We start from the raw sequence: 12,360 nt of genomic DNA, 5'->3' as shown, positions 1-12,360 counted from the left end.
ATAAAATACAGGCATCAACTCTACGTTGTTTACCAGAAATCCATGTTAATTATAAAGACACAAAAGGAATGGAGAAAGTTATATTTTTCTTTTCTTTCCTTTTTTTTTTTTTAACCTTTGAAACAGGGTCTCACTCTATCACCCAGGCTGGAGTACAGTGGCACAGTCATGGCACACTGCAGTCGTGAACTCCTGAGCTCAAGTGATCCTCCCACCTCAGTCTGTTGAGTAGCTGGGACTGCAGGCATGTGCCACCACAACAAGCTAATTTTTAATTTTTTGTAGAGATGAGGTTTCACTATGTTGCCCAGGCTGGTCTTGAACTCCTGAACTCAAGAGACCTTCCTCCTTCAGCCTCCCAAAGTGCTGAGATTACAGCATGAGCCACCACGCCCAACAAAATATATTTTTCTAACACTAATCAAAGGAAAGCTAGAATAACTATTTTAACTTCAGACAAAGCAAACTTCAGACAAGGAAATTATTAGGAATAAAGAAGGCCATTACATAATGATAAAGGGGCCAGCTGTCCAATAAGCCATAACAATCCTGTGTATGCACCTCACAACAGAGTGTCAAAATAGGTAAGGCAAAAACTGGTAAAACTGCAAGGAGAAATAGACACAAATAGATTATTGCAGTTGGGGTTTTCAGTATTCCTCTATTAGTAATTGGCAAATCGAACAGGCAGAAAATCAGTAAGAATATAATAGAAGTGAACAGTACCATCATCACCTGGGTTTAATTGATAGTTATATCTCATTCAACTGCAGCAAAATACGCATTCTTCTCAAGCTCGTATAGAACATTAACCTAGATACACTACATCTGGGGCCTTTTGCATGTGTCAGAACCCATAGAGCTATACAACATACAGAGTGCACTCTAATGTAAACAATGGACTTTAGTTCATAATAATGTACCAATATTGGTTCATCAACTGTAAGAAATGTACAACTCAAACGCAGATGTTACTAATAGAACTGTGAGAGAGTAGAGAGGGGTTATATGAGAACTCTATTCCTATCTCCTCGATTTTTTTCATAAATCTAAAACTGCTCTGAAAATAGTGTGCGAAAATGTCATTATTTTAAATTTGTGATTATTTTATGGCAGTTAAACTATTTTCTCAGCCTGGTGAAGGAAACCAACCCCCTAAATGATCTTATCATATTTGCATATATATTTATATATTTAATATTGTATACAAACATGAAATATAAATATATTTATTATTTATTAAATATGTCTTTATTAAACATATTTAATATTGACCAACATATTAAATATTAAATATATTAATGTAGAACATTTATATATTAAATAGATATTTAAATACAATGAGATTATTGACGGGGTTGGTTTACTTTACAGGCCGAGGAATATATATTATATGTATTTAGATATGATGAAATAATTGATGGGGTTGATAACTGATAATTGATAATACATATTTGCCCATTTATTTAAATGTATATTTAACTCATTTGACTATCTTTTTACCCATTCACCAAATACAAGAATACTTAAAAAGTGAGAAATCTACTGCCAAGTGGTATTTTATTTTTGTCTATAGAATCAAAACCAATACCAATATTTTCCATATTTAATCTCTGAACACTTGTTTATCTTTTTATGATCTTTTGAGATGTTTGGGTGTGGGAACTTTAAAAAAATCTAGGCTACTTACCCTCCTTCCCCGAGTTGCTAAATGATCCTACAGACTGAGTGTATCTGCTGCTCATTTTGAGGATCTCTGTGTATAATGAGAAATGATGACTGGTGAAGGCAGTAAAAAACCTGCTGATTCATTGGATAACATAATCAACCACTTTATTGTTTAAAATAACCCTTCCTCTGTTTTTTGGAAATGGAGAAGGAATCAATTTAACACGTAATTTTCAAGCAGAATTTTATTATATCATAGAAGCAAACAAAATTTTCCAAGAATAATCTGAAATTAGGAAAAATGTGCCATTTTACTGAGAAATAATGATGCTGTGTTGAAATGTTTCTCTCCTGATTCAAAGTATATTTTTCGTGTAAAATGTTTTACAATAAGAATACCCCAGGTTGGGCACAGTGGCTTATGCCTGTAATCCCAGCAGTTTGGGAAGCCGAGGTGGGTAGATCACTTGAGGTCAGGAGTTCAAGACCAGCCTGACCAACACGGTGAAACCGCGTGTCTACTAAAAATACAAAAAATTAGCCAAGCGTGGTGGCGGCGCCTGTAATCCCAGCTGCTTGGGAGGCTGAGGCAGGAGAATCGCTTGAAACTGGGAGGTGAGCTGAGATTGAGCCACTGCACTCCAACCTGGGTGACAAAGCGATACTCTGTCTCAAAAAAAAAGAAAAAAAAAAGAAAAAAAAGAATATCCCAATAAATAATAAAAATATTACCTTTGTTGATTTTAAAGATTTATTCCTTGAAAAGTTTACAATTCTGTAATTATAATAAACTGAATCAAAGATACCTGTAATAATTTGTTGTGAGCTTAAGAAAAGACTAGTATACTTACTTATATTTGTATTTATAATTTACTTAATTTCATAAAGTCTTTGAAGCAATATAGAATAAAAACAATAAAATAATAGGAACAAAGGAAAAAACCTAGGAAATTAAGAAAGTCAAGATGAAACAAAACAGAGTTTAGATGCCAAGAACACATAGTTACAATAGATGACTTTCAATTTTGGTCTGAGTTTCACAAGGGAAAAGGCAAACAGTGGGTTAGGATAGCTTCCTATTTAACTGCTATTTTTGTGAGACAGTTCTTCACGAAAGAAAAGGTTTTTCTAGTAGTAAATTTCAGAAGTGGCTAAAGTGGGGGTAGAGATCTAAAAATAAAGATAAATCAAAAGATTTATCTTTGAGGCATTTTTAAAGGTACTATTACACTCTTATACTCTTAACACTGGTGTATTCATTTGACAAATTTCATGGAGTGTCTACTGTAAATCAGACACTCTTCTAGACATTGGGAACAGACAAAAACCCCTGCACCAACTTAGCTTACATCTGAGAAAGGGAAACCAGAAAATAGATGACAAATATGGTATATGAAATAGTGATATGTGCTAAGGAAAAAAAAATTAAGGAGCTAGGAAGACTAGAGACTCTGTGTGTGTGTGTGTGTGTGTGTGTGTGTGTGTGTGTAGGTTGGGGGTACTGCAGTTTAGGAAAGGAAGTCCTCACTGAGAGGGAGACATTTCAGTGAAGGCCTGGAGGAGGGAGTGGGAGTGGGGAGAGAGTGTCCAGTACAGAGGCCCTGAGGCAGATTTGAGAAAGGGCAAAGAAGTCACTGTAGCTGTGGTTGAGGTGGAAAGAAGGAGAGTGGTAGAAAATGGAGTTAGAGAGGTAATGGGGGTGGGAAGAATGTGAGGGGCCTCACAGGCCTTATGGACTTTGGATATTTCTCTGAGAGAAATGGGGAACCTCTGAAGTGTTTTGATCACAGGAGATGTATTAGTCATCTGTTACAGGGTAATAAATACAGCCAACCAAAATGTAGTGGGTTAAAAGAACACTAAGTACGTATTATCTCTCATAGTGTCTGTGGATCAATAATTTGGGAGCAGCTCAAGCAGGTCTTCCTACTCAGGGTTTCTCATCAGGTTGCAGTCAGACCTGGGCTAGGGCTCTGGCCACCTGAAGAGGTGGTTAAGTCGAGAGGATTCACGTCCCAGGTGGTTTACTCACGTGACTGACAAATTGGCTGTAGCTGATGGTGGGAGATCTCAGGCCTTCTTGACATGGGCCTCACCACAGGACTGCTTGTCTCATGGAATGTCACTGCCCTTCCACAGAGTGAGAAATCCAAGAAGGTGGCTGTGTCCTTGTCCTCTATGACTTCACATCTGAAGTCACACATCATGCCTTCTGCAGTGTTCTATGAGTCATATGGTTCATCCTGATTTAGGCTGTAAGCAGATTGCATCATGGCGCGGATACCAGGAGGTGGGGATCATGGGGGTCCATCCTAGAGGCTGACCCAAGCAGAGGAAAGGAGATAATTACTGGAACAATGTCTCCCCATAGGCATGAGTATATGGAATTTAGTGCAAAAGGAGAGGAAATAGCCTTTGTTAGGGACACAGAGGGATCTTTGATAGTAATAGTATATAGGTGCAGTTAGAGGAGGTAGGAAGATCTTGTGGTGAGAGCTTGTACACATTCTCATCTAATTTTTTCTCTGTTTCTCAGTGAAAAGGAAACAAGGTCATAGGTCAAGAGTGAGGATTGGGAAGAAGGTGTTTGTTAGAGGTTCATCAGTATTTCAAGTTTTTCAGTATCTTTTAAGTGATGCAGTGCTCATTGCCACTAACCCTTGTTTGGTCATATTATAAAGGAGGAAAAAAAGCTGTAGTTTTGATCACTGTTCTATTGTAATAAGCACAGCCTGAGCTTTAGTAAAGTGAAAAAACCCCAACTCTGTGTGTATATTTTTTTTCATTTTAAGGACAGTAATTTTTTCTTTTTGATTTCAAGTACTTTCTATGTTTACAGCATAGAAAGTTTTATGCTATAAGCATCTTTTGGTAAAATTAGACTACTTTGTCACTTCTGCTTATGGAATAGAGTAAAATACAGATAATAACATTTGCTTAAAGGAGACATTTAAAAAATAAGATGTGGTTTGTCTTAGCCCAATCAGCCTAAAACCACCAGGGACAACCTGTAAACAAACCAATTGAGTTTACTGACTCATTGCAGTGTGGGGACTGCACAACAGAGCAATTGTGGGGTATCTCATCAAACAAAGGAAAATATAGGGTTAACATAAGATTTTGCTAAAGAGTGGAATTTAGGTGTGATGTAAATGAAATGATATTCTATGGGCTCTAAGAAAGTATGGTTGTGTATAAAAGGGGTCAACCTCAGCTCTGTACTGTGAAATGGACCTATGGTTCTTGTCTTAGTCCATTTTGTGTTGCTCTAGAGGAACATCTGAGGCTGCGCAATCTCTAAGGAAAAGAGGTTTATTTGGCTCACTGCTCTGTGGGCTGTACAAGAAGCATGGCACCAGCATCTGCTCCTGGTGAGAGGCTCAGGCTGCTTCCACTCATGGCAGAAGGTGAGGGGAGGTGTAATGTGCTAAGATCATACGGTGAGAGAGAAAGCAAGGAGGGAGGAGGGAGGCGCCAGGCTCTATTTAACAACCAGCTCTCTTGAGAATGAATAAAGCAAGAACTCACTAACTGTTCCCTACCCCCAGGGAGAGCATTAATCTATTCATGAGGGACCCTCCCTGATAACCCAAACGTCTCCCATTAGGCCCCACCTCCGACACCTTGGTTTGAGGGAGACAAACATTCAAACCATAGCAGTCCTATTTTCTTGGAAATGAAGTCAAAATAGATGTCAAATGTTGTGTCCTGAGACCCATTCTCTGAAGCTTTGCACAGGAGCTTAAATCAAGGCTTCACTGATCACAATGACTTAACTCCTCCAGATAAGAGTGAGATGTTTCATTCTTATTGCAATAATTTTAAACAGCAATGCATCTCATAGTCTATGATTTCAGAGAATACAATTTCTCAGTAAGTAAGCAATAGTCCCTCTAAGAACTGGGTTTTTAGGGCATTTTATGGCTGCAATATGTATTTGGGAAAAATATTGTTTTCTGATAAATTTGCACCTAGCTTAATCTGCAGCTCTGGTTCTAGATTGATGAATGTCAGGGACATTGCTTTCTTGGTCCAAGTAATTTTCTCAGACTATATTCTATAACTTACTCTAATTCTAAACATTGATGAATAGGTCACTGTCCCTTCCTAGGTAATCTGAGTCAAGACACATAAAGAGTTTGTATTTCATATTTTAAATTTATAATACAAGGTGGTTGGAAGAAGTCTTCAACAGAGTATGTATATAGAATTAGATCGTTTTTAAATGTTAATGACTAAATTACCGTGCCTCCGACAGCATGTTTACCAGAACTCAGCATCCAAGTGTCCCACAGTTAGGTTTGCCAGTTTCCAACAGGAGGCCTCAAGGTGCTCAGACTCCCACTGTGGCATCTTCATAGTTTTTCTTTCTGGTTCTAGCTTGCTCTGGCTAACAACCACTATCATCAAAGTTGTCTGAGGAAGACCTCCTGTTGCTGTGACTGACGGGACTCTTGGTGGAAGCCCTATTCCCATGTGCCCATGGCTGCAGCTCCCCAAGGAAGCAGGACATTGTTGGATTCTCTAAGAAGCTCAGAGGAAGTTACTTCTCACTGTGGTGCCATATGGGATTTGAAGTCGTTCTACTCATGCTCTGTTTTTCAATAAAGCTGCTTCTGCCTCTGTCTTCTGTGCCGTGTCTCCTGTAAGGAATTCCCAAAACTTAAAGCAAACAAAACCAAAACCCAAAGCAAAAAATATATAAGTAAATAAATATACCAAACAAATCAACTAATTAAAAAAAAAGGAAGAAGAAATGAAGTCAACATTCTTTGAGATCCAGCTCTGATTCTACCTTACACAATGATCAAACCACAACACTTAACTTCAGCCCACAGGTCACCACATGGCCGTTCCTACCTTGCTTGTTGGCACAGCCATGTGATTTTCTTAAACAATGTTCCCCAGTCAGTGGATTCACAGGGTGAGAGTTGGCATAATACCTTTGGTGAAAATACAGAGGAGAAAGGTAATTGAAGGTGCTGGTGAGAGTATCATTGATGAGATTCTTCAAGGGCCCTAAGAGGGCTGGAGAAATAAGTAAGAAAAAAAAAGGTACTGATGGAAAAGGCTTCTAAAGAAAGACTTCTCAATGATCTATAATAACACTAACCATAACTACTAATAATTATTGAGCCTTTATTTGGGAAGGCACTGCAAAGAGAGCCTTATCTGCATCATCTTGTTCAATTCTTAGAACAGCTTGGTGAGTTACATACTATTATTTTCTCCATTTTATGAATGAGGATTCTGAGTCTCAAAGAGTAACTTGCTCAGATCCATGTGGCTAATAAGTGGTAGTGCTAGTTCTTAAACCAAATTTTCTCTGATTTCAGTGCTTGTGTTATTAGTTCTTAATATGCTTTCCAAAATATTGTGAGATATGCACCTTATTCTGAAACTTTAATGAGATCTGAAATACACATGCAAATAAGTATCTATAGAAGGTGAAAACTGTAATGTGTCTTTTTACATGCACTTTCAAAAATTATCTAAGCCTGCTTCATCCACTACCCCTTCTCTCTCTCTCTCTCTCTTTTTGTTTCTAACTCCTGAGTCCTCTCATTTTGACTCTCTTCCCATTATTCTTCTACTTTTCAGGTGGATGACCCATTTTCAAACTTATCCTGATTTTTACCTTTAGGATTTTACCTGGATATTATTCAATTTCATGAACCAAAATCACCAGTAAGATACAGCTTAACAGTTGTCAAATATTAATGATTGTAAGAAAAAATCAGATATGCTTGAAAAAATTATCAAGCATAAGCTATGAATTGATATGGGAAGTTTACTAGTGAAAACATAAGAAAAATTTGACCCACATGAGGGTTAAAGATTTAACACAGGTAACACATCCAACATGAGGATAAAATATAGTTTTATTAGTTTTGTCATAGTTGATTTGTTCTTTCTCTACACCTGCTGGTAAGAAGAAAAAACATTAACTTTGATTTAAAGCTTAGTTTGATCTGTTAATTTAGGCAGAAGCTTTATCAATAGTCTGCCTTGGCAAAAAGTAAAACACAAACAACGCTTAGTTTATTACACAGCCCTCCAACCCCCCGAGTTATCTCCCTCAGGTAGTGTCCTTGTGTCTGAGGGAAGGGGTGGGGCTTTCAGGGCATTATGAACATAGATGAATCAGAGTCCTAAGATGTTAGATGCTATGTCTCATAAATCCTCTAGTTTCCAGGACAACGACCCATCTAATTTCTGCCTTGTCGGCTGGCATTTGTGGCTAAAGTGTAACTCTTGCCTTTTGCTCTTCTTACTGCATAGAAACTGTCAAAATCACCAGTGGCAGCCAGTTTGCTAAGTCTAATGGTTAATTCTCTGTCGTTATTTGTGTCACTCTTCAGCAGCATCTGTCACAATTGATTTTTCCCTTCTCTTTCAGGTTTTGCATTCACATGGCTGCTAGAACACCACATTACCTTGGTTATTCTCCTTTACTCTCAAAGCTTCTTCATCAGTTTCCTTGGATGGCTCTTCCTTTTATTCCTAACCTCTTAATTTTGGAGTTCCCAGATCACTCTTCTGAAATCCAGTCCCATATATCTAATACCTTACTCAGTATCTCCACTTGGACGTCTGAGAGACAACTCAAACTTACCCCAAACCTGCCCTAGACATATCTTCCCTTTATCAGTTGCAATACTACAGTTTCTTAGACCAAAAATCTTGGGGTCTTCAGGCTCTGCTAGTCCATAGCTTTGTCTCTTTCCTCATAGGGGAGAAACATAGATCAGGATTTTTTTTCTCCTAAGGTCTTGCCTCTGTGATTCACAACCCTTTCTCTTAATTGACAATTACTGTATTACAGTGCATAATCATTTTACATGTGCAAAGTTGTTTTGAAACCTAGAGACCTAGGTAAATTTGGGGTAAAACCATATATGGAATTTGAAATTTATAATCTGAAATAATCTTTTTCATCAAAATCAGATAAATGCATAAATTTTCTCTTGCAGGCTTGAGTAATAATTTCAACTGGCCGCATTTCCTTGACCTCCTTTTGATCCTCCATGGGGTCTCAAATTCAACAATTCAACATGTTTAAAATACCATCTTTCCTACAAGAGGCACTTATAGCTACATTTGTCCTTCTTCTGGAAATAGAACCTCTATTCTTCTTAGAATTGTTTCTCTCCCTGGTCTAATTTTACAGCTTCCATGAGCATTGCCATTTTCTTGCATGAGCCCACCACCCTGGCTCCCATTTGATTGGTTCAGGAATGTCAACCTGGCCCAAGCTAAGCCAATCATAGTATTTTAAGACTCTAGTTACAACTGTTTGATCCATTATGTAACACAAGATGGGTCAGTTACAATCCTTCCTTAGAATATTTGAAATTGGAAGCACAGAAAATAAAAGGCAGTTCCCTTCGGAGATAAAACCTATCAGAAGTAAAACTTGGGAGCTGTTTGTAGTCACATTTCCGACTATACGAATGAAAACAGTCTGCAGTGAGAAAGAATAAAACTGACATCCAGAGACAGGTACAGATGAAAGGTAGAAAACTAGATTCTGGTGACATTCTGGTGGCTAGATCTAGTTTTTCCTGGGGCTCAGTAGGCTATCTTTTCAACAGGTATTAATGAAGAATCTTGTACTTTATATTATGGATACCCTTGCTAACTATACTAAGAAGGAAAAAAAGTATTCATTTTCTTATATAATTGGGAAGGACATCAAAGTAGCTAATATAATCAAATAGCTGCAGTAACCAGGCCTCTATTTATGCTTCTGGCACTTCAGGACTGCTAGTTTTCTGTTTTTATATATCTCCCATTTCTGCTTATTTTAGCTTTTGAATTAGTCTCAACTGGACTTCATGCAGTTATGCTTTTTCTAGGGCACTGAGGAAGATGGCTGCAAGCTGCTCCAGTGTCTTTTCATCCTTCCTAAAGGATGACCCCGAAGACAAAGGCTGTAGGGGAAAAGTCTAATGAAGGCTCCTGATTGGTGTAGTTTAGGTCTCATGACCACCTTTGAACCAATCACTCTGGCTAGACCCAGCTCATATGCTACTTCTGTGTCTGTGGATAAGTCAGAGTCAGACACAGCTTTACAGAAAACATGAGAAGTGAAGGGTACAGTTACTATAAAGGATATTGTAATACATTCTGAGAAGACAGCACTATAGCTACCAGAGTCCACTATACCATTGTTTGTTGGTTTAATTCTTTCTTGGATTCGGTGCAGCAATAAAAGTCATTTTTTGCCTAAGGCAGATGAGTTTCCTCTCATTTGCAATCAAGAGTCCTGATGAACACACATTTTCCCATCTCTCTTTTTCTTCTTAGATTCCTATCTCCCTGAATGACACTGCTTACTGAATCATTCTAGTTAAAAATGTGGGAATCCTCCTCAAGTTTTCTCTTTCACTCTCCATAGTCAAAAATGTGGGAATTATTCTTAATTTCTGCCTATTCCTTCTATATTCAATAGATATCCATATCCAGATATCCTGCTATGTCAGTTCTAACTCTAAAATAGCTCTATAAACAGACTCACTATTCCATTCCTATTGTCACAGCCATTGTTCACACTCTCATCATCTTTTGCATGATGTGCCTCCTTAATTAGTTCACTTACTTTCGGTCTTGCTTATTTGCATTCTATCTTCCACACTACTTTAAAAGTAAATCATCATGTCATTTCCCTGAATGGTATTTTCTCTTGGCACCCATTGCCTTTAGAATAAACTTAAAAAATTTCTTGGTGATGTGTACAGGACCCTTTCTGAATTTTTGCTAAGCATGCTTAACTTCTCTTGGTGTTTAGGTCTCAGCATCAGTTCTCACCTATGTATCCCACCTATGTATGTCACTGCTGTGTCATCTTCATTCTATTCTTTTCAGTCAGTGCTGTTCTGACCCTAAACTCTACTCTTATCATTAGGTGTCCTTTATTTGCTCTTGGGACTCCTTGATATCCTGAATCCTTCTGCCTTTGGTACTTACCAGGTTCCCAAATCTTATATTATACATAAATCACTTATGGAGCTTTTCCTTTACCTGCCCTGGACACACTGCATTGGAAACATTTTAAAAATTTCCTCCTGGATCAGGTGTTTTGTAGGAGCAGTCATTTAGCAAACACTTGAGTGTTTCTGCTACTGCCTGATATTGAAGTTCTCAAATGCTTCTTTCCTCACTGATTGGAGCAATAAAAGTCATTTTTGCACCTTTACCTACTTCTGAGACTTCTTCTGATTGGCTGACCTGACTTTAAAATCTCTTCAGATTCCATCATAGTCATGTCTGCTCCCCACCCTCATGACATTAACGCAGAATCGGCTATTCCAACCATTTCGCTCTCCTATAGTTATGCAGCCCCTCCATTATTCCATCTCTTTGAATTTATTCTGTCTATATTTCCTTTATCATACATAATTAAAACTCTAGTTCAAGCGCCTAACTTATTTTTCCCAGCTACTTTGGCTATGTCTCCAACCATAAATTCTCCTTCTCACTTGAGAGCCCTGACATACCATTTCTAGATATTAACTAGGGCTTTAAAATTATTGCAGTGGCTGCAGTCATTGGCACACTACAGCGGAGGGCAGATAGTGTGCATCTCTTCCAACGTCCATTTTTAATAACATCATGGTGGTTGTATAAAATCAGCTATGGTGTGAATATTTACACCACCCAAATCAGCAAATACTCAGCAAATGCTAGATTTCTTTTCCCTTGGAGGGCTGGTTGTTACGCATTTACCAGCATATCACTAGCTTCAGTGGATGACCAAGCTGTGGGACCCCTGGTGCCAGCCTAGAGTACCTGATATAACCACTGCAGGTAAGAAGTATACACCATGGACTAATACCAGCTGAAAGCAAAAGTTGACTGAGCCTGGACAAGTGGGTTGTTAGTAGTCTCTAGACCTTAAAAAGTGTAAAACTAAGCTCCTAGTTCTGCTCCAAATCTGTTCTACTCCTGTACTGATTCATCTCAATTAGTGGCAACAACATTCACTGGGAACTTGCACAAATCATGTAAGCAATCTGTGCATCAAGTTTGGGCACTCTAGTAGCATGTATCTCATAGGCTGTTTTGAGGATTAAATGAGTTGTGATTGGTAAAGTGCTTAGAATTATGTCTGGCACAATCATGATTTCCTGAAACACTATGTAAGTTTTTAAATAATTGCTCAGACCCAAACCCTTAGTCAGCTTTGCCTCCATCATTTCTCTCATACCCCATATCCAATCTGTCAGGAAATCCTTTCCCTCAATTTTCAAAATATATACGTGGATCTGACCACATCTTGGTACTTCTACTGTGACAACTTGGATCGAGCCTCCATCATGTCAATCTGAATTATTGTGCTGGATTTCCTACTTTCACTCTTGCTCCCTCTGCTGTTTATTTCTACCATAACAACCAGAGTGATCCCTTTTCATTATTTTTAGACCATGTCCACTTCTCAGCTGAAAACCCTCTAATGCAGGGGCTTCCAATCTTTGGGCTTCTCTGGACCACAGTGGAAGAAGAAGAATTGTTTTGGATCACATATAAAATATACTAACACTAAAATAGCTGATGCGCTAAAAAAAATTGCAGAAACATCTCATAATGTTTTAAGAAAGTCTACGAATTTGTGTGGTTCTGTGCTGAAATCTGTCCTGGGCTGCATGTGGCCTGGGCCACAGGTTGGACAAGCTTGCTCTAGTGGTTTCC

At 38.2% G+C, this 12,360-nt stretch overlaps 1 long non-coding RNA gene across 4 annotated transcripts in view; it reads right to left on the bottom strand.

Moving 5' to 3' along the window:
• Positions 1-2,521: 2,521 nt before the first annotated feature.
• The window catches only part of GASK1B-AS1 (GASK1B antisense RNA 1), a 32,126-nt gene continuing 22,287 nt past the window's right edge, over positions 2,522-12,360 (bottom strand). For 2 of the 4 annotated variants that reach the window (NR_147407.1, NR_147410.1), the window contains 3 exons: positions 6,529-6,611; positions 5,913-6,311; positions 2,522-3,987 (listed from right to left, as the gene is read on the bottom strand). This is a non-coding gene — a long non-coding RNA (GASK1B antisense RNA 1). Of the gene's footprint in view, positions 6,312-6,528; positions 6,612-12,360 lie in introns of all 4 variants that reach the window. The other 2 variants (NR_147408.1, NR_147409.1) reach the window with 2 other exon arrangements.

The sequence above is a fragment of the Homo sapiens genome, chromosome 4, assembly GCF_000001405.40.
Source record: "Homo sapiens chromosome 4, GRCh38.p14 Primary Assembly".
Taxonomy (NCBI): Eukaryota; Metazoa; Chordata; class Mammalia; order Primates; family Hominidae; genus Homo; species Homo sapiens.
The sequence above is the reverse complement of the archived record's forward strand: the minus strand, read 5'-3'. Positions and strand labels throughout refer to the sequence as shown.